The following is a 22,816-nucleotide window of genomic DNA, read 5'->3' as shown; positions in this document are numbered from 1 at the left end:
CTCACTGTTACCCAGGTTGGAGTGCAGTTGTGCAAACAGGGCTCACTGCAGCCTTGACCTCCCAGGCTCAAGTGATCCTCCCACCTCAGCCTCCCAAGTACCTGGGACTATGGGCTCACACCACCATGCCCAGATATTTTTTATTTTTATTTCTTTTGAATTTTTTTTAGAGGCAAGGTTTCGCCACATTGCCCAGGCTGGTCTTGAACTCCTTAGCTCAAGCCATCTGCCCACCTTGGTCTCTCAAAGTGCTGGGATTACAGGCGTGAGCCACCGCACCTGGCCAGTTGCACCATCTTAAAATCCCACCAACAGTGCACAAAGTTTCCAGTTTCTCCACTTCCTTGCCAGTTTTATTATTAATATTATTTTTTGATAGCTGTCCCTATGGGTGTGAAATTATATCTCATTGTGGTTTTGATTTGCATTTTTCTGATGATTAGTGATGTTGAGCATCTTATGCTTATTGGTCATTTATCTTGTGTATTCTTTGGAGAAATGTCAATTCAGATTTTCTGCCCATTTTTGAAATCACTATTTGTGTGTTTCATTCAGTCACAGGAGTTCTTTGTATGTTCTGTGTGTAGATCTCTTATCAGATGCATGTTTTGCAAATATTTTCTCCCTTTCTATGAGTTGTCTCTTCTTTTTTTTTTCTTTTTTTAAGACGGAGTCTCACACTGTTGCCCAGGCTGGAGTGCAGTGGTACGATCTCGGCTCACTGCAACCTCTGCCTCCCGGCTCCCGGGTTCAAGCCTCCTGCCCCAGCCTCCCGAGTAGCGGAGATTACAGGCACCTGCCACCACGCCCGGCTAATTTTTTTGTATTTTTATTAGAGATGGGGTTTTACTATTTTTATCAGGCTGGTCTCGAACTCCTGACCTCGTGATCCACCCGTCTGGGCCTCCCAAAGTGCTGGGATTATAGATGTGAGCCACCATGCCCGGCTGTCTCTTCACTTCTTGATGGTGTCCTTTGAAGCCCAAAGGATTTTTTAATCTATTTTTTCTTTGGTTCCTTATGCTCTGGATGTCATCTAAGATTCCGTTGCCTAATCTAAGGTCATGAAGATTTACACCTGTGTCATCCTCTACTTTTATATTTTAGCTCTCATCTTGAGGACTTGATCCATTTTGACTTAATTTTTGTATGTGGGGCTAGGTAGGGGTTCAGCTTTATTCTTTTGCATGTGGTGTTCAGTTGTCACAGCACCATTTGTTGAAAAGATATTCTTTCCTTCTTGAGTTGTCTAGTACTTAGGTCAAAAATCAATTGACCGGGAATGTAAGAGTTTATTTCTGGACTATAAATTCTATTCCATTGATGTATATGTCTCCTTATGCCAGCAGCACACAGTCTTGATTACTACAGTTTTGTAATATTTGTGTTTTATTTTATTAAAAAAATTTTTTTTTAGTTTTTTTTTTTTTTTTTTTGAGATAGAGTTTCGCTCTTGTTGCCCAGGCTGGAGTGCAATGGCATGATGTTGGGTCACCATAGCCTCCGCCTCCTGGGTTCAAGCCGTCCTCCTGCCTCAGCCTCCTGAGTAGCTGGGATTACAGGCATACACCACCGCGCCTGGCTAATTTTGTATTTTAAGTAGAGAGGGGGTTTATCCTTGTTGGTCAGGCTGATCTCGAACTCCCAATCTCAGGTGATCTGCCTGCCTTGGCATCCCAAAGTGCTGGGATTATAGGCATGAGCCACTGCTTCCAGCCTCTTTTTATTTTTTTTTAACTGCTCCTGTGGAACAGGGCTACCACACAGGCAGTGTGCCAGAGTAGCTGTGGATTATTTTGGGTTTCCCTTGTAGGTGATTATTATCCATGAATTATGACAGCTTTGCTTCTTATTTTCCAGTCTATATTTCCAGAGTGAGATGGAGTCTCACTCTGTCGCCCAGGCTGTAGTATAGTGACACAATCTCAGCTCATTGCAACCTCCGCCTCCTGGGTTCAAGTGATTCTCCTGCCTCAGCCTCCCAAGTAGCTGGAATTACAGGCACGTGCAACCATGCCCAGCTAATTTTTTGTATTTTTAGTAGAGACGAGGTTCCACCATGTTGGCCAGGTTGGTCTCAAACTCCTGACCTCAACTGATCCTCCCATCTTGACCTCCCAAAGTGCTGGGATTAAAGGCGTGAGCCACCATGCCCAAAAGTTCTTATTGCCTGCCTAGAACTTCCAGAACCATGGTGAATAAAAGCAGTGATAATAGATGTGTTTGTCTTAGTCTTGATTTTAAAGCAAATATACTTAACGTTTCTCCGTTAAGTATAAAAGTTTTCTATGGGCTTTTCATGGATACTTTTTCTCAGCCTAAGGATATTTTTTTCTCTTCCTAGTTGGCTTTGAGTTTTTATCCTGAAAGAAAGTTGAATGTTATCAAATACATTTTCTGTATCTGTTAAGATGATCATTTTTTTCTTTTAACTGTTAAGATAGTGAATTTTACTGCTCCATCTAGTATTAACTCATTTTTTTTTCCTGCAGTAAACTCAACTTGGTCTTTTTTTTTTTTTCTGAGACGGAGTCTCACTCTGTTGCCTAGGCTGGAGTGCAGTGGCGTGGTCTTGGCTCCCTGCAAGCTCCACCTCCCGGGTTTACGCCATTCTCCCACCTCAACCTCCTGAGTAGCTGGGACTACAGGCGCCCGCCACCACGCCCGGCAAATTTTTTGTATTTTTAGTAGAGACGGGGTTTCACCGTGTTAGCCAGGATGGTCTCGATCTCTTGACCTCGTGATCCGCCCGCCTCGGCCTCCCAAAGTGCTGGGATTACAGGCATAAGCCACTGCGCCCAGCCAACTTGGTCTTAATATGTAATTTTTTTTTTTTATATTATTGGGTTCTATTTGCTAATATTTTGTTTAGGTATTTTGTATCTGTGAGTATTTTGTATCACGTGTGAGTTTCACTTTTTCTTTCTCTTACCGTTCTTAACTAGTTGAGGAGTATATCCCTATTCTCTGGAATATTTTGTATGAGATTTAAAATATCTGTTCCCTGGGTGTTTGATATTTGGCTGATGTTTTGTGATAATAGAGACTATTTAACCCACATGTATGGGATCTACTTTTGACTTTGTGGAGTGAGAATACAGAAGAGGGTATTTGGTTCATTTGATTTTTGCAGCTTGTTATTTCTGTACTGTGGGCTAGTCTAAGGTTACAGTGTAGCCGAAGTTACTCATTTGACTATGCAGTAGGGTAATAAAATTGTTACACAGTTGAGCCATTGTTGTAGTGAAAGCTAGGGAGTATGTCTTTACCTTTTTCTTATATTACAGAAGGGCAGTGTTTCCTATATATAGACTAATTAAATTTCTGTTTATCTTACAGAAGTTATAGACCTTACTCATGATAACAAAGATGATCTTCAGGCTGCCATTGCTTTGAGTCTACTGGAGTCTCCCAAAATTCAAGCTGATGGAAGAGATCTTAACAGGTTATTGATTTAACTTATAATTCTTGCCCCCCACATTTGTGTGTATCTCAAAGGCAACAGCTCTGTGAATGCCACTCAGGAATAATTCTGTTAAGCACCTGAATGACATTTCTTTTAGGAGAAATTTTGAATTTGCATTAGCTTACTCTTTGGTTCACTTTTGAAAAAGCGAAACTGAAAGGGGTCTTATTGCATCGTGTGTCTTTGAGTAGAAGTGTGCAAGGTGTTTCAGTTTACAATTGCTAGGGTGAATTAAAAACAACCTAGTCCAGGTATCTGATAAATGTATATTCTCTTTTATAAACTTTGAGGGTTATGCTGCTGCATAGTTTTAAGTGAAAGTTATTCAACTACCCTGTCTCATAAGTGATCAAGGAATCTATTTTTTTGAACTGGTACTAATTGGGTGGTTGTTTGGTACTGTTCACCAACATCCAGTTCCAGTGGTGGCCTATCAGTTTCTGGACATGTTTATTCCCTCACACTGCTGAGATGTTTATTTCAGGGAACACAGGGCTGTGTTTTATGTCCTGGGCAATTTGGAGGCTCTTATCTTTAGCACAGTGTCTCTCCTGCCCTATTCGATGGTGAGGTCTTAGATAGTACACTGTGTTGAAATCTAAAATTTCTAATATGGTAGCCTTAAATAGTCTTGAATTTCAACTTAGTTCAATCATGGACCTTATTAGTAATAATGTCTGTTATGGAGGGATTAACATTTCTATGTATAAATCTTGCTTTTCAGTTGCATTACAGTCTTACAGTTCCTTATATAGCTAGGGATTATCCAGTAAATACTTTTTCTGGTGTTTTGAATTATCCACGAAAAGTTATAGCATCCTCCATATGCTATATTATTCTTTAACTATTTTCTTTTTTGCTGTGTGGCACGCTGCACAATATAGGATGCATGAAGCAACCTCTGCAGAAACTAAACGCTCAAAGAGAAAACGCTGTGAAGTCTGGGGAGAAAACCCCAATCCCAATGACTGGAGGAGAGTTGATGGTTGGCCAGTTGGGCTGAAAAATGTTGGCAATACATGTTGGTTTAGTGCTGTTATTCAGGTATGATATTTTTAAGAGATAACTGTGTCTTTTGGAAATAACTTTGTAATTTATTAAACTGAAATGTAGAAACATAGCTTTCAAAGGATTAAAATAGATATTTAAAATTAGGGGAGTTTTTCTGGCATTATTGTGTATGGATTTAGATGCTTTGATGTCTAAGTTGGGCAGTACTAAAAAGAAATCTGCTGTGGTTGTAAATATATTGAATAGGTGTTTTGGATAAGCATTTAGTGGATACTATATTATAGCAGTGAGAGTGAATAAGGAGGAATCAGTTGTTGAAGGCTATCATAGCTATCCAGGTAGGCGACAGTGGTGGCCTGGAGTAGAGAAGTGGCAGAAGTCATGGAAGGAGAGAAGTGAATGCATTCTTGAGGCGCTGAGGAGATCAAATCTACAGGATTGGTGGGCAGTTGGATCCAGGATATGCCTGCAGTAGTTGAGTAAGAGTAAGACTATGAGGTTTCTAGTTCGAGTAACCAGGTGGATTATAGTACCATTTGACCCTGGAGGAGGAATAATTTGGGTGTGTGTTAACAGTGGGTTTCAGTTCAGGTTTTTTTGTTTTTTGTTTTTTTCTTTCTGACACAGTGTCTCGCTCTGTTGCCCAGGCAACAGTGGTGCGATCTCAGCTCACTGCAACCTCCGCCTCCCAGGTTTAAGCAATTCTCCTGCCTCTCCAGTAGCTGAGACTACAGGCATGTACCACCAGGCCTGGCTAATTTTGTATTTTTAGTCGAGATGGGGTTTCATCATGTTGGTCAGGCTGGTCTCCAACTCCTGACCATGTGATCTGCCTGCCTCGGCCTCCCAAAGTACTGGGATTAGAGGCGTGAGCCACCGCGCCTGGCCACCCGGCTAATTTTTTAGTAGAGACAGGGTTTCGCCATGTTGGCCAGGTTGGTCTCGAACTCCTGACCTCAGGTGTTCCGCCCGCCTCAGCCTCCCAAAGTGCTGGGATTTCAGGTGTGAGCCGCTGCACCTGGCGCAATGTCTTCATTTTTAAAATTTATTTTTATTATTTATTTAGTTATTCATTTGAGACAAGATGGCGCAATCTAGGCTCAATGCAACTTCTGCCTCCCAGGTTCAAGGGATCCTCTTGCCTCAGCCTCCCAAGTAGCTGGGATGACAGGCGTGTGCCACCACACCTGGCTAATTTTTGTATTTTTAGTAGAGATGAGGTTTCATCATGTTGGCCATGCTGGTCTTGAACTCCTGACCTCAAGTGATCCACCTGCTTTGGCCTTCCAAAGTGCTGGGATTACAGGCCTGAGCCACCATGCCCCACAATCAGTTCAGTTTTAGATATGCCGAGTCTGAGGTGCCTGTGCCTGTGTATGCTATGGTCTTAACTACCCTTCATTGAATTCACAGAGTGCCCTTTTGTCCTTTGATCACATACCCAGCAAATCCTCCAACTTAAATGAGTTGAGTTTAAGGAGATACCATGTAGGCAGATAATTATATGAATCTGTACTTCAGAAAAAGTGCTGGGCTCTAGATACAGTTTTGGAAATTAGTACCATATAGATGGCAATAAAACCAAGGGAGTGAATGAATTCACTAGAGGGTAGTGGCTCTCCAGAAGTATCGATCAGGCATCTTAAACTTACATAGCCCCAATGCAACCCTTGGTGCTCACCACAGCAGTCTTCTCCATCATGGTACATGGCACCTACCCAGCTGCTCAAGCCAAAAAATGGAATTCTCCCTTTCTACACATCTGCTACATCCAGCTTCTATGTGCCTGGCACTGTCTTAGGCTCTGGGGAAACAGCAGTGACTAAAACAAAGCCCGTACTCTCATGGTTTACTTTGGAAAGAGTGGCACAGACAGTAAACAAAACATGAGGAGGTGACAAGTGTAAAGATGAATGAATGAGTCTGGGGGACTGGACAGGGTTCAGCTGGAGAGGGCAGAGGGTCAGGGATGGCCTTTCTGATGAGGCGGGAATTTGAGCAGAGGTCTGAAGGTGGCCAGGGAATGTGCTATTTAATTACATAGGGAACATTTCAGACAAGGAACAGCAAATAAGCAGACTGAGGTTCAGGAGCTTGCTTAATGTGTCTGACAAATAGCAAATAGCTAAGACGGAGTGATCCAGAACTGATAGCAGTGGGATAGGAAAGGTGGTGGAGGTGGAGTGGAAGAGCTTGGGGTCATGATGAAGATTTGGGAATTCTAGATGAAATAGGAATGTATTGGAAGGTTTGGAGCAGAGAAGTGATATGATCATACTTCCAGTTTAAAAGGATCACTGGCATCTGTGTTGAGAATAGAACATAGGAAGATAATGTGGAACATGTCAGTTCTTTCCTATCTGAAAGGATAGAGAGAGAGAAAGATAATGCTCCTTGGATTCACAACCACCGCCCCCCCACCATTAGCCTTCACTCCTGTGGAGGGTGGACAAGAGCCAGCAGATGGAGAAGATAGCTGAGTAAGGCTTCTGGGACAGCATGAGCAGACAGCATAGAAAGTATATCTGAGGAGTCGGCCTTAACAAGGAAAAGGGCAGGAGAGTAATGGGAAGGGAAGAGGAAGAAATGATAACTGCAAATTAGAGTTGAAGTAGTGTCTAGTCTTTTTTTTTTTCCTCTGTGAAATTAGCAGCTATTTTTTGAGACAGTGGAGAAGTGACAGAGTCAGATTTTAAAGGGAGTGAAAGTTTGAAATAGTTGTTGGAGATGGTGGGAGAACCAGTTGGCACCAGAGTACAGTAGTAGGATTTCCAAAAATTTGAAGATCTGCTTGAAATTGTTGACTTTAAATGTGTGGTGATACGAAAATGTTCAGTTTCTATCAGGACATCCTCTTGACAGCACTTTGAACCTCTTACATGGAAAACTCAACTCATTTAATTTGGAGCATTTGCTGGGTATGTGATCAAAGGACAAAAGGGCACTCTGTGAATTTAATGAAGGGTAGTTAAGACCGTAGCATCAAAGCTAGATGGAGAAAGAAATGAAGATAGGAAGGAACTGATTGTTAGGGAGCCAGGAAAGAGATCAATTTGCTTGGGCCCCTGCTGAAGTCAAAGAACAGATATCCTGCAGGTAATTGGACACAAAGAAGACATGTAATGGTCCCAGAGTGAGCTTTTCTGAACGTGTAATCTGCGAACTGACACCTTTCATGTGTTGGTGTATTTTTGGGTGCAGCCTGGGATGTGGATGTAGATAGAGATGGAGTGGAGGAATGTGTCACTAGAGATGGGATGCCCAAGAAGCCGAGAGATCTCCATACTGGATGCATGCGAGTTCCCTCAGCAAACAATTGAACACCTGCTCTATGTCTAGCAGTGTTCTAGGCCCTTGATGTAGGAGTGAACAAAACAAAGACAACTGTGCCCACATGGAATGTAAATTCTCATGAGGTGAGATAGAAAATGAACAGTAAACTAAAAACTAACAGAATGATGAACTAGCTGAATAAAATGTGTATAATACATTAGACTGTGATTGGTCCAGTAGAAAAAAGAGCAAGGTTAGGGAGATTGGAACTGCAGGAGAGGTGGGAACAGGTTGCAGTATTAACTGTGGTGTTGGATGAGCCTCACTGTGGTGGGGAAGGGGATGAGACTGAAAAGGGAGTGAACCAGGCAGCTATTGGGATAAAAAAACATTCCAGGTAGAGGAACACATAGAGCAGTGGCTTCATGGTGGGAATGGGCTTGGTGTGTTCAGGGAACGTGCTGGAGTCCAAGTGGCTGGATGCTAAGAGCAAAGGGAGGGTCACTGGAGAGGAGGGTCTGAGTGGACAGGGAGTTACTGAAAGTCCCCAGTGGCAGACTGATCAACTCTGGCTCAAGTATTAAGAGTCTCCCTCTGGCTCCTGTGGCGAGATGAGGATGGAGGGGCAAGGATGCACAGGGAGAGACCCATGGCTGTCATCCATGAAGAGTGATGGTGACTCGGACTGGACTGGTAGCCCTGGAAATAGAAAAGAGTTGGAGTTCTTGATATATTCTCAAGGCAGCACTGACAGGATGTCCTCAGGGATTGGATGTTGACTCTAGTCACCTAGGAGGATGTCAGGACTTGGGAGAGTGAGGAAAGCTGTTACTAGATGACAGTCTTCAGTGAATCGGGAGCTTCATTTTTGCCATATTAGCGAGGTACTTAGAAGGAGCTGCGTGGCAGTTGTGAGCAAGTGTGAGTGGGTGGAGGGAAGTTCTGGAAGCAGAGAGACCATGTGCAAGTGAGCGGCGATGGGAGTTGGATTAGAGCAGCTGATGGGGTGCTGATGGGGAGAAAGCAGTTAGGTTATAAAGAGCACCTAGAGTCAGAGGCCAAGGGACTTGTTACTTACTAGATGTGAATGGCGAGGAGAAAGATTCAAGGATTTTTCTGCAGTTCTAAACTTTGGTGACTGGGGGAGGAGGATGTAATAATGAAGTGACGCAGAAAACACAGAAGCAGCAGCGGTTGGGTAAGGAATAAATTGGGAGATGTGAATAGTATTAGCTCACACTTAATGTGTTCTTTTTTGTTGTTTTTCTTTTTTTTTGTTTTGAGACAGTTTCGTTCTTGTTGCCCTGGCTGGTATGCAATGGTGCGATCTCGGCTCACGGCAACCTCTGCCTCCAGGGTTCAAGCGATTCTCCTGCCTCAGCCTCCCGAGCAGCTGGGACTATAGGCATGCCACCATGCCCGGCTAATTTTGTATTTTTAGTAGAGATGGGGTTTCTCCATGTTGGTCAGGCTGGTCTTGAACTCCTGACCTCAGGTGATCTGCCCGCCTCAGCCTCCCAAAGTGCTGGGATTACAGGCGTAAGCCACCACTTCCAGCCTAATGTGGTTTTTAAGAATAATGGCAAAGCCCGATTTTCCTGATGGTGAAGAGGTGGAGTTAAATGGCTGAGAATGTAAAGCCATTTTTCTCACAGCAGAATAGAAACTCAAGAATGTCACAGGGTAGCCAGCAGAGTAGGAATGCAAGTGTGTTAGGTAGACAGGTGAGGTGGAAGAGAAGAGAGTGGCAGAGGATACAGCTCACCAGCCAAGCCCTGGTCCCAGAGAGAACTTTGGTGCAGCATGACCTGGGTTTACACTTCAGTCCGGTTGAACACTCACCCTGTTGGCTGAATCCCGCCAGGGCTTGTGTTAGAGTGAGGGAAGCCAGAGAGGTGCACGTGGGCTCTAGTCAGTACCGACACTTGGATTCTTTGGTTGACATTAGGAAATATACCTGGGGCTTTTAGAATACCAAGAAGCTGTTTTATTTAGTTCTAATTCCAAAGTTTTGCCTATTATCTACCTAGGATGCTTCTTCAGGAGTTCCACCGTGCAGGCCTGAGAGGGTTTTCATTTGAGGAGCATGTTGGGATGAGGAGTTGTATATTCATACAGGAGATATTTTTAAAGAAAATTAACTTATGAAAGGTATTCATAGTAGAAAAATGTGATTTGCAAATAATAAAAAGAATCCCTCTCTCCAGTTCTACCATCTGCTGTTAAACTTTTAAAAAATACAATACTATGACAAGGAGTGGAGAATAGTAAACACTGCTATACTAACCACCTAGCTTAAAAAATTAATGTTACAAATTTCTGTTCTATTGAGTTCCTGTTGTGACATCCTCCCTTTCCCACAGTCATAACCACACATGGATGTATCCCTGAACAATACGTAGTATTGTTTTACATGTTGTTAAACTTAATATAAGCAGTATAATACTTTTTTTCTGTAACTTTTTTTCACTCAAAATGTGTTTTTGAGGTTTATCCATGTTGATACACATAGCTCTTGTTTTTTTCATTTTCACTTTATATAGTAGGTCATTTTATAAACACTTTTTACAATATTATTTCAATGACTGCTTAATAGTCTATTGTATAAATGTAGTATAGTTTATATAAACTACTTCTTTTGGCTGGGCTTGGTGGCTTATGCTTGTAATCCCAACACTTTGGGAGGCCAAAGCGGGCAGATCCCTTGAGCTCAGGAGTTTGAGACCATCCTGGGCAACATAGGGAGACCCTGTCTCTACAAAACCAAACCAAAACAAAACAAAAGCTACTCCTTTTGTTAGACATTAGGTTGTTTCTATTTTTTACCTAAAAGTATTAATATTCTTTGAGCTAATTTTTTGTGCACAACCATTATTTCCTTAGAAATAACATAAGTCAAATTGCCAGGTTGATAGTTTTGCATACTTTTAAATATGAAATAAAATATTTGAAGTGAAAAATACATATGTTGCTGCAGTTATTTTCAGGAAAGGCTATGAATCCCTTTCTTTCTTTATTTCAGTCTCTCTTTCAATTGCCTGAATTTCGAAGACTTGTTCTCAGTTATAGTCTGCCACAAAATGTACTTGAAAATTGTCGAAGTCATACAGTAAGTTGGTGTCAAGGAATTTCTTCACTGTTGTTTAGTCCCTTTCATCCCTAAGGCTTCTAGATTTTTGCCTAAAGCTGATATCCGTGATACTCTTTGGCTTGTGCTAATTATTTGTTTTCATTTCTAAATGGCTCATTTTCCTTTTTTGGGATAACATATAAGGGTATGCAAAAATGTAAAATTAAGTAGGAGTAAAATGAGAAAAACAGCTCCAAGAATATGTGGGTGGGGAGACCCTGAATACCTGTTGTGTTTGTTGTATCCTTTCTCTTCCTGAGCTGCTTAGGCAATGTGATGCTGGAGAGATGCCCTGATGCCAGAGACCTGAGCCGCCTTAGTCTATTTTATTCTGTTTTTGCCAAAGGTCGTAGCCTCCTCCTAGCAATTTAACCCTTCCCAGGATTTCACCTTGGCGCAATGCATTTTCCTCATGAGAAGGAGGGCAGCAGCTTCAGAAAGTGGACATTTCTGTTTTTCCAACAGTGCTGTCTCTGGCTTCTACATAGTTATTCTTCAGTTTAGAGTACAGTCCTTACCAGAGTCCCTGTAACACACATAGCCCTGTGACTTTGACCTAGATCTAGGTAAATATAAATGAGGGCATGATTATTGACAACTTTTTTTTCTTTACACGTTCTGATTTTCTAAATGAGATATTGTAAGAGTACATGTACTGTGTTTTCTACAGGAAAAGAGAAATATCATGTTTATGCAAGAGCTTCAGTATTTGTTTGCTCTAATGATGGGATCAAATAGAAAATTTGTAGACCCGTCTGCAGCCCTGGATCTATTAAAGGGAGCATTCCGATCATCTGAGGAACAGCAGGTACAAAAGAAGCCTTGTTCTTGAGTTTGAAGTCATGCCTTGTCAGTGTTAATGCGGTACTGCTTCATTTCAACTGCGTAACAAGCTGTGAACATGACTAAGCAGGACTATGGATGCTCGTTTCTGACTTTTGTTTTGCCTACAGAACAGGTGGTGAGAGAGAAAGCATGTGTGTGTGAGAGAGTGTGCGTGTGTTGCACGGGGGCTGGCAGTTCTAAAGAGAAGAAGAAATAGTAGTAGAAAGAATGTAGAATTATACCGGGGCTATTGATGTAGAAAGGAGGAGATTGGAAAATACCTCAATGAGCTGTAACAAAAGGGATACCAAGAAAAGTAGTCCTTTGTCTGCACCTTTGTCTTGGAATGGTCCAGATGGAAATAGTATCTTTAAAACTATCTAAACCTGAGTTCAGGAGCTTTTCGGAGCTTTTCTCAGCAACTTCTCTCTTCTAGACTTTCCCTTCCCTACCTCCTATTAAAAAATAGCCGGGCATGGTGGTACGCACCTGTAGTCCCAGCTACTTGGGAGGTTGAGGCAGGAAGATCCCTGGAACCCAGGAGTTTGAGGCTGCAATAAGCTGTGATTGCACTACTGTACTCCAGCCTGGGTGACAGAGTGAGACCCCGTCTCTGAAAAAATAATTTAAAAACAAAAACAAAGCTGTCACTAATTAGATCATCTTCTTCCTCATATGATTTTTTTTCTTTCTCTATTTGAAGGTCCTACAGTTCTACAAAATTCTCAAAACATTGAAGTTTTCTTTCTTTATTCAGATCTCTGTATTGTTCTAGAGTTCCTTGGGCCTTTTTCTTAAAAAGTCCTACTTGGAAGATTTTGTTTATTTTTCTTTCTTTGTCATAAATAGATGTGGCTGGAAGTAGTAGAGTTCCAGCTTCCTTCTAGCTACAACTTTCAGGTTGCTTAATGCACCTTCTTTTTTATGTATAGTAGCTGGGTTTCAGTGTTCCTATGTTTTCATGATATTCAGCCCCCAAAAATAAACGCTTTCAGGCTGTGCGCAATAGCTGATGCCTGTAATCCCAGCACTTGCGACGCCGAGGCAGGTGGATCATTTGAGGTCAGGAGTTCAAGACCAGCTTGGCCAACATGGTGAAACCCCGTCTCAGCTAAAAATACAAAAATTAGCCAGGCATGGTGGCATGTGCCTGTAATCCCAGCTACTTGGGAGGCTGAGGCAGGAGAATCGCTTGAATCTGGGAGGTGGAGGCTGCATTGAGCTGAGATCGCGCCACTGCACTCCAGTCTGGGCGACAGAGTGAGACCCTGTCTCAAAACAAAAAAAGAAAAGAAAAAAAGAAATGCTTTTATAGTAGTATAATCTTAATTCATTGGTGGGATAAGGATAAATTTTAATTTCTCTTAGTATTGCATCTAACTTTTATGCAATTTGTGCCTCTCTTATAGCAAGATGTGAGTGAATTCACACACAAGCTCCTGGATTGGCTAGAGGACGCATTCCAGCTAGCTGTTAATGTTAAGTGAGTGTTGAGGGTTTGTTTGTACATCCTTCCGACTCACAGTGGGCCAGTGAGAATTATATGCTGGAAAGTTACTCTCCTTAACTAGAAATTGCTGGTTTTTAACCATACCTCCTGGGATAACCACTGAGGTAGTCCTCATCATGTATCCCTGTCGCCTTCAGCTTTCCCCTCTGAGGATGTACCAGTCATCTTATCCTGCAGCTTTTTTTTTTTTCTAACTAAAGGACTGTAACTGTTAACTTTGTTAATAAACTCAGCATGTGCTGTAAAATGTATTTGTAAAAAGGACAAATCAACCTCTGTTGTGAACATGATGGTATAATATGGGTACTTAAATTTAAGATCCCTTTTGAGGTCTACTAAGAATGTGTAGAGGATAGGTTATAGTCATTTCAGTCACTGAGAGAAGTGAAACTTAGGGCACGATACGGATATCCCTCTGAGAAATCTGTGTTTTAAATGGTTTCAATTCTAGGTAGAAGCATTGTAACTATAAAATAGTTTTGGAAACGGCAACTCAACGTAGCAATTTAAGAAGGACTTGTAAGGAGAAACTTTTTATTTCTGTTGTACCATGGAGAAAAATTTTTTGTATTTATTTGTAAAACTATGCAACAGAGTTCATTCTTACCTTTATACTGCTTCTATACCTTGTATACATCTATCATTGGATATAGATGTATATACTGAAAGCATATTTGTCTGCATGTGTGACTCCACTATTAGGCTTTAAGCTCCTTAAGTCCAGGGATTGGGCCTTCTTGTCTTTGTGTCTTCAGAGTTTAGCACAATGCTCGAAAGAAGGTGTTCAATAAATATTTGAACTGAACTAATTGTTACTTATTTAGATCATACCTGGCTCTTTGGGGGTTGATGAAAATGCACTATTTTTGCTTTTGAATGATGCTTGGATTTTATGTAGCACATATCTTAATCCAAACAATCCAGAATTGTCTCCTTTTCCTAAAAGCAGCAGTCCCAGGAACAAATCTGAAAATCCAATGGTGCAGCTGTTCTATGGTACTTTCCTGACTGAAGGGGTTCGTGAAGGTAAATTCTCTGCTCTGAATTTTAATTCTAGACCTTTGATCATATCTTTATTACTGTGTCCCTTTGAGGAGGCAGTATAGTGAATAGGCTTGAGAGTCAGCAGTACTCAGCTCTGAATATTGGTTCTGCCTCTTGGTATCTGTTTAACTGTGGATAAACTATGGGAGCTTCTGGATCCTCAGTCTCTTCATCTGTAAAATGTGCACAATCTTTATCTCAGATTTGTCATATTAATACTTGCACAGCCCAAATCTGACATTAATGTCAGATAGTGATTTTACTCGGTTTTCTCTGTGTTGCTTATTCTAATATAATACTTAATCTCAAAAGGTTTTATTGAGTGAGACTGCCAAAAATGTTTTTCTAGACTAGAGGCTTTTCACTCTGGAGGCTTATCTATCTAAGCTACATGCAAGGCACATAATTTATTTTTAATTATGAAGAGTTTAGAATACATTCAAATAGAGCAATTTTACAACCTCCATGAACCCAGCCTTAGCCCACAGCCAGTCATTCCCCATCTCACCCCACTCTTACCAATCTGATACTCTTTTTAAAACATAACCCAATACCAATATGACTCTGAAAAATAGCATTTTAAACTATCAAATATCTAGTCAGTGTTGAGATTTCTAATTTGTTTTCATAATTTTTTAAAAATAGAAAATTTATTTTTAGAGTTTGTTTTAGTCAGGACCCCAGTGTGTGATTCATTTATGACTGAATATTTGTAGGCTCCCCCTCCATCGTTTTTTCCTTGAAATGTATTTTTTGGAGAAACTGGGTTGTTTGTTCTGTAGCATTTCCCACAGTTGGAAATTTTGCTGTTTGCATGTCCTCTGATACATATTTAACATATTTTAACATATCCCCATGTTCTTCTCTATTCCTCCTCTTATAAATTGGTAGTTGGATCTAGAGATTTGACTAGACTTAGCTAAGGCTTTTTTTGGCAAGACTATTCACAGATGGTGAGAAAACTCTTGATTAGGAAGTACATAATGTCTGGTTGTCTTTGCATTTTTTTTTTTTTTTTTTTTTTGAGACAAGTCCTTGCTCTGTTGCCCAGGTTGTAGCGCAGTGGCAACATCATAGCTTACTGTAACCTTGGACTTCTGGGCTCAAGAAATCCTCCTACCTTATCCTCCTGAGTAGCCAGGACTTCAGGCGTGTGTTACTGCACCCGGATAATTTTTATTTTTTGTAGAGACAGGGGTGTCACTGTGTTTTCCAGGCTGGTCAAACTCCTGGCCTCAAGTGATCCTCCCACCTTGGCCTCCCAAAGTGGTGGGATTACAGGCATAAGCCACGAAGCCCCTGGTCTTTTTCCAGTGTTACTGGTTTTCATTGTTCAGTGTCTAGATTGACTGGCTCACTAGAGGTTGCTATAAAGGCGTAAGTGCATTTCTAACCAGCTATCAGGAAGTTGCTGAATTTAAAATGTTGTCTCTGTGGAGCCAGAAGATAGGCTTTAGATAGTCATAGTGATGTCTTTTTTAAAAAGTCTCTCTCTTTGCCTAGGAAAACCCTTTTGTAACAATGAGACCTTCGGCCAGTATCCTCTTCAGGTAAACGGTTATCGCAACTTAGACGAGTGTTTGGAAGGGGCCATGGTGGAGGGTGATGTTGAGCTTCTTCCCTCCGATCACTCGGTGAAGTATGGACAAGAGGTACGTTGGAGATCTTTATTTGCTGTGCCAGTGACAAAGCCAGTTAAGTAGGAGTGAGCTTTTGGGCAGACTAGTTTCCCATCACATATTAAGTAACTTTACACTTAGCAGAACTTGAATTTGTCTTAAGTCTCTCATCAGTTGATGTGAGTCAGTGAGTATCAGTACTTTGATAAATAATTTTTACTAAAACTATGAATTTGAGTTACTCGTGTAAAGGTTGTATGCTGCTTCTGATGTTTTAAGTATGATCAAGTTTCTCTCTTTCTGTTGAAGCCTACCTGTACCTGAGTAGGGAGAACCCACTGCCTCCATATTTTCGGAGGGTAAAAGTACAGTGATTAACTCCTATGGTATGCCATTTAGAATATTTTCCCTATTATAGTATTTACTGTTCTCAATTGTAAATTCTGCCTTTGCTTTTAACATTTTTAAAATTTAATTTTCATTTGTTTATTTATGTATCTATTTTTTTTCTGGGTTGGAAAGACGGGGGAAGTTAAAGGGAGAGCATGGGTAGTTAACATCTCAGTATTCCAGTTAGGTTAAGAATTAGTGAATAGCATTTGTAACATAATTCTTTACACAGTTGGGATTGTTCTCCATTGATCATACATTTTGAGACAAAACTGTGGCTTATATATGATTCCAACTCAGTAATTACTATAGGAGAAAGTGGAGCTTTCCTGAATTAAAATAGGGAGCCTAACATGAGCCATATGAAAATACATTCACTGTAGAGCAGTGTTGGAACTCAGAGAGCTGCTGCCTCCCTGGATTTTCAAGGAAAAACTGATTCCTAATGGAGGAATTACGTCATCTGTACCATCTGTGCAAACCTGGTGCATCCTCTTACAAAAGAGGGAGTCTTCACCAGCTATACTTAGGCCTGTGGAGACCTGTATTCCAGGATGGGAATTCTATAAAAATTAAACAAAACAACAAAATTGTCATGCTCATTTAGATTTCACCCTGAGGTGGTCTCACAGGCTGTGTGAATTCACCTCATTATGCTGACAGGGTATCTGAAGGGAATGTTGCTTGCACTTGTGGTAAAGGAAATATTTTAAAGCTGTTGACAGGAACCTCAGACATACAGGTGAATTGAATAGAAAAGCCAAATCTGATTTAGCTTTTCCTCACCTGTGATCCCTGACTGTTGAGTCTTTTTTATGTCAGTGCCTTCCTTCTTTGAAACTCAAGTAACATCGTAGGTTGATTTGACTGGCTTCTTTATGAGACCTCTGTAAGTTTTTGAAATTCAGAGATTTTTCTTAGAAATTGAGAAATTGTAAAACCATGAGGCTATTTCAAATTTCCTTTGTATATATAAAGGAGATTCAAATTATGGTTAATAGACTAAAACAGCATGTAATATATGTACACATATGAGTCTTTTTAGCTGGCACATGGAGTTGTCTCTTTAGCTACATGCTGCTTCGATCATAATTTCATATTCTGTAGTTAGGCTAGCTGTTAAGTTTTTAAACCTCTTCTGAATACTGATGATGTAACGAATGAGTTATGTAGATGCTTAGTGCGGTTCACATATTCAAGGGTGGTTTATTCTGAGGATGATGGTTGAGTAAAATTCTGTTGACTGGCTAGTAAATTTGGAGTCTTGAGGAATGTTGAACCATATTCTGTAAGAGAATGAGATTCTAAGTGTTGATTCCCTTTAGTGTTTGGGATAAAAAAAAGTTCTAGTATGAGTTTGCCTTGAGTATAAGTTCTATACCAAAGGAAGAAACTTTAATGAGAGATATTTTAAATCTGGTTATTGTAATTTCCTAAAATTAATTTTTCTTTCTCTCACATTTCTACTCTTGACACTAGCGTTGGTTTACAAAGCTACCTCCAGTGTTGACCTTTGAACTCTCAAGATTTGAGTTTAATCAGTCCCTTGGGCAGCCAGAGAAAATTCACAATAAGCTGGAATTTCCTCAGATTATTTATATGGACAGGTGAGTTCTTGGCTGATTTTTTTTTTTCCTGAGGTATTACAGCAGTAGAGATGAGCACGTACTAAGTATAGTGTGCGTAGGAATCACCTGGGAGACATGATAATATGCAAATTTGGATTCTATGAGTCTAGGTTGAGGGTCTTTGCCTTTTTCTGAGACCTCCCAGGGTTGTGCTCATGTTGCTTCTGATCTCCGGAAGCAAGACTTTAGGTGAAAGCCCTCCTCCTTTTGGGGGTAGGAACTACCTGAATTCTGGGGGTGGGGGTGCTCCTAGCAGACTTACATTATAGAATTTTTGTTTTTTTTTTTTTTTGAGACAGAGTTTTGCTCTTGTTGCCCAGGCTGGAGTGCAATGGCGCAATCTCGGCTCACCGAAACATCTGCTTCCCGGGTTCAAGTGATTCTCCTGCCTCAGCCTCCCAAGTAGCTGGAATTACAGGCATGCACCACCACACCCGGCTAATTTTATATTTTTAGTAGAGACGGGGTTTCTCCATGTTGGTCAGGCTGGTCGCGAACTCCCGACCTCAGGTGATCCGCCTGCCTTGGCCTCCCAAAGTGCTGGTATTACAGGTGTGAGCCACCGCGCCCGGCCTAGAATTTTAATTTTATAAAAGTCTGGTTGAGACCAGGCATGGTGGCTCACATCTGTAATCCTAGCACTTTGGGAGGACGAGGAGGGCAGATATCTTGAGCGCAGGAGTTTAAGACTAGCCTGGGCAACATGGCAAAACCCTGTCTCTTAAAAAAAAAAAATTAGCTGGGTGTAGTGGTGTGCACCTGTAGTCCCAGGTACTTGGTGGGGCCAGTGAGCCCTGTTCATGTCACTGCACTCCAGCCTGGGTAACAGAGTGAGACCCTGTCTCAAAAAAAAAAAAAAAAAAAAAAAAAAAAATGGGTGTGGTGGCTTGATTTTCTTTTCTTTTCTTTCTTTCTTTTTTTTTTTTTTTGAGAAGGAGTCTTGCTCTGTTGCCCAGGCTGGAATGCAGTGGCACGATCTCGGCTCACTGCAACCTCTGCTTCCCGGGTTCAAGCGATTCTCCTGTGTCAGCCTCCCAAATAGCTGGGATTACAGGCACGCACCACCACACCCAGCTAATTTTAGTATTTTTAGTAGAGACGGGGTTTCACCATGTTGGCCAGGATGGTCTCAATCCCCTGACCTTGTGATCTGCCCGTCTCTGCCTCCCAAAGTGCTGGGATTATAGGCGTGAGCCATGGCTTCTTTTACTTATTTTTTATGTAGTCATTCTTATCCCATGGTTTATTTTTAGGCATATAACCAGTGAGTTCTGACAAATGTACAGTCAAATAAACTACCATCACAGTCAATATGTAGGGCATTCCAGCACCCAAAAGGTTTTCCTTGTCCCATTGTGATCATTCCCTTTCTCTCCATCTCCAGGTCCTGGCAACCACTTAATGTTTTTGGACCCTATAATGTTACCATTTCTAGAATGTGGCATTAGTAACATTAATATTTAGTAGGTACCCTGTTCTGGTTGTGTCCTTTCTTTAGGATAATGTTTTTGGGATTCACCCATGTTGTTCATATATAAGTAATTTGCTCCTTTGTATTGCTGAGTAATATTCTATTGTAATATGTACTGCAGTGATTTTTTGCCATTCACCATTTGGTGACGTATCTAGTTTTAGGCTATTATGAATGAAGCTGCCATGAACATTCACATATAATCCTTGGCATAATTTTTAGTTTTCTTGGGTAAAATATGTAGGAGTAGGATTGCTTGGTTCTATGAAAAGTGTATATTTAACATTATAAGAAATTTCCAAACTATTTTCTAAAGTGACTATACAATTTTGCATTCCCTCTAGCAGTGTGTGAGGGCTCCATTTGCTCTACATCCTTGCCAGTGCTTGGAATTATAAGTGTTTCTAATTTTAGCCATCTAGTGGGTGTGTGGGAATATCTTATTTTTCCTTTGATTTATATTTCCTTTTCCCCCATTGAATTATCTTGGCACTGTGTCAAAAATTAATTGAACATATACATGGGGGTCTATATCTGGAGTCTGTTCTGTCTGTTGTCTGGTCTTATGTCAGTGCCATATTGTTTTGATTACTATGGCTTTATTGTAAATCTTGACATTAGATAGTATGAATCCTTCAACTTTGTTCTTTTTCAAAATTGTTTTAGGTGTGCTGGTCCTTTGCATTTCTATGTAAATTTTTATCAGCTTGTCAGTTTCTACCCAGTGGCTATTGGGATTTTGATTGGTTGTGTTTTGAACTTACAGATCAGTTTGGGGAAAATTGACATCTTTTTTTTTTTTTTTTTTTAAGACGGAGTTTCGCTCTTGTTGCCCAGGCTGGAGTGCAATGGTGCGATCTTGGCTCACCGCAACCTCTGCCTCCCGGGTTCAAATGATTCTCCTGCCTCAGCCTCCCAAGTATCTGGGATTACAGGCATGTGCCACAACGCCCAGCTAATTTTGTATTTTTAGTAGAGATGGGGTTTCTCCCACGTTGGTCAGGCTGGTCTTGAACTCCCGTCCTCAGGTAATCCGCCTGCCTCGGCCTCCCAAAGTGTTGGGATTACAGGCGTGAGCCACCGCCCCTGGTCCAACATCTTAATAATAATATTGAGTTTTTCGGCCAGACATGGTGGCTCACACCTGTAATCCCAGCACTTTGGGAGGCTGAGGTGGGTGGATCACCTGAGGTAGGGAGTTTGAGACCAGCCTGACCAACCTGGTGAAACCCCATCTCTACTAAAAAATACAAAAATTAATCAGACTTGGTGATGGGCACCTGTAATTCCAGCTACCTGGGAGGCTGAGGCAGGAGGATTGCTTGAACCCGGGAGGCGGAGGTCACAGTGAGCCGAGATTGCGCCGTTGCACTCCAGCCTGGGTGACGAGTGAGACTCCATCTCAAAAATAATAATAATATTGAGTCCTTCAATCCATGAACAGTGTATAGCTCCATTTATTAAATAAGTTAATAGAGATTTAAGTCCTTATTAATATCTCTCAACAGTGTTTTGTAATTTTTAGTGTACAGGTCTTGCACATGTTTGATTAAATTTATCTCTAATTCCTGCTTTTAATTTCATTTTTCATTTGTTCTTTACAAGTGTATAGAATTGCAGTTGATTTTTTTTCTTTTTTTAAATTGATTTTGTATCCTTTGACTTTACTAAACTCACTTATTAGTTCTGATGTATTTTTTTAGGTTCCTTAAGATTTTCTGCATGCTTACATCATGTGGAACTAAAAGGCAGCTTTACTTCATTCTTTACTATCTGCATGCCTTTCATTTGTTTTTCTTACTTTATTGCATTGGTTATATCTTCAGTTAAGTATTTAATAGAAGTAGCAAGAGTGGGTATCCTTGTTCCTGATTTTAGGGGGAATGCATCAGTTTTAACCTTGAGTATGCTGTCAGCCGTATGTTTTTTATAGATGCCCTATATCTGATTGAAGAAGTTTCCTTGAATCTTTAGTTTACTGAGACTTTATGTCATTAATGTTTTATAATATAAATTGTGTTTGTGGGATTATTTACTTAGGTACATGTACAGGAGCAAGGAGCTTATTCGAAATAAGAGAGAGTGTATTCGAAAGTTGAAGGAGGAAATAAAAATTCTGCAGCAAAAATTGGAAAGGTGAGTTTTGGACACCTTCATGCTTAGAAATGTAAAAGAATATTAAAAACAGATAATTTGTTTTTCTTTAAAAATTAACTCAACGTTTAAATATTAACTAGAATATTTTATAAAACAGCTAAGAAAATTTTTTGTCTAAGTGTGAAGCAGTCTTCAGGATCAGCTAGTATTATTCATGGGGGTAAATAATAGTCCCAGACTACTGAAGTGACTCAGAGTCACACAGTTAGTTACTGCAGTGTACCAAGGAGAAACTGAGTTCTGATTTTATAGACTTTTTTTCTACTCCCCTTGCCATCTTTTTCACAAACATGAGAGAAGCAAGTGTCACGATGGTCCCGTCCACTTTTGGAAAAGCAGTTTCTGAAGTGTCTAAGAAAGATAAAAAACAGTGCTTTTCTACCTAGAGCAGTGCTAACTGATTAAAAGGGCTAATATTTCTGATGCATACAAAGTTCTTTCTCTTTTGGAGGAATTTTCACTTTTTTGATTGTTGGTTTTACACTATTTCTGTAGAATGGTTTTCTGTAATTTCCTTAGGAGTCAGTTTAATTTCTTTCTCGTCTAGATAGATCCCGTTGATTTTGCGCTTAAGAAAGAGATCCCATACACAGTCAATAGCTTCTCCTCCCTTTATCCACTTAACAGTTTTCTTTCTAAGACCACCACACCTCCACCTACTCCCTTATTAGGCCATTAATTTCCCTGAAGGGCAACACTTTCCATACCAGGCCTAAGATGGACCCTGCACTGTACCCCCACCGCTACCACTGCAGCTTCCACTCTCACTCCAGAAGAGCTTATACAAGATGTATTGTGACTAGTCATTTGTCTTTATAGAGACTTAAGCTGAAAACCAGTTCCTCAAATACTGTCCTGGAAGTGATTTTCAGGACTTTTAAGTCTGTTAGTATTTTACTAAACCTTTAAGTTTTAGTGATACTTTGTAAGGCTGGAAATTTTAAATTATTTTTATAGAACCAACCATACCAACTGGATGCAGTATCATGTGCCTATAATCCCAGCTATATGGGAGGCTGAGGCAAGAGGATTGCCTGTGCTCAGGAGTTTGAGACCAGCCTGTGCAACTTAGTGAGACCCCATCTCTCTCTCTCTCTCTCTCTCTCTCTCTCTCTCTCTCTCTCTGTTTTTTTTGAAGATGGAGTGTCGCTTTGTTTTCCAGGCTGGAGTGCAGTGGCACGATCTCAGCTCGCTGCAACCTCCGCCTCCTGGGTTCAAGCGATTCTTCTGCCTCAGCCTCCAGAGTAGCTGGGATTACAGGCATGTGCCACCATGCCCGGCTAATTTTGTAT

The 22,816-nt window shown here is 40.8% G+C and overlaps 1 protein-coding gene across 51 annotated transcripts in view; it reads left to right on the top strand.

Annotated features, from left to right (window-relative positions):
* USP28 (ubiquitin specific peptidase 28) overlaps positions 1 to 22,816 on the top strand; it is a 77,698-nt gene that overhangs the window by 30,465 nt on the left and 24,417 nt on the right. For 18 of the 51 annotated variants that reach the window (NM_001400799.1, NM_001301029.2, NM_001346261.2 and 15 more), the window contains 9 exons: positions 3,340 to 3,445; positions 4,351 to 4,510; positions 10,773 to 10,859; positions 11,551 to 11,688; positions 13,115 to 13,188; positions 14,165 to 14,241; positions 15,763 to 15,911; positions 17,748 to 17,875; positions 21,408 to 21,503. In NM_001400799.1, coding sequence (NP_001387728.1) covers positions 4,352 to 4,510; positions 10,773 to 10,859; positions 11,551 to 11,688; positions 13,115 to 13,188; positions 14,165 to 14,241; positions 15,763 to 15,911; positions 17,748 to 17,875; positions 21,408 to 21,503 — 908 coding nt within the window. In that variant the 5' untranslated portion in view covers positions 3,340 to 3,445; position 4,351. Of the gene's footprint in view, positions 1 to 3,339; positions 3,446 to 4,350; positions 4,511 to 9,780; positions 9,902 to 10,772; positions 10,860 to 11,550; positions 11,689 to 13,114; positions 13,189 to 14,161; positions 14,242 to 15,762; positions 15,912 to 16,187; positions 16,265 to 17,747; positions 17,876 to 21,407; positions 21,504 to 22,481; positions 22,596 to 22,816 lie in introns of all 51 variants that reach the window. The other 33 variants (NM_001400810.1, NM_001346260.2, NM_001400789.1 and 30 more) reach the window with 11 other exon arrangements.

The sequence above is a fragment of the Homo sapiens genome, chromosome 11 (genome assembly GCF_000001405.40).
Source record: "Homo sapiens chromosome 11, GRCh38.p14 Primary Assembly".
NCBI lineage: Eukaryota > Metazoa > Chordata > Mammalia > Primates > Hominidae > Homo > Homo sapiens.
Note: the sequence above shows the minus strand (reverse complement) of the source record. Positions and strands in the feature narration are given on the sequence as shown.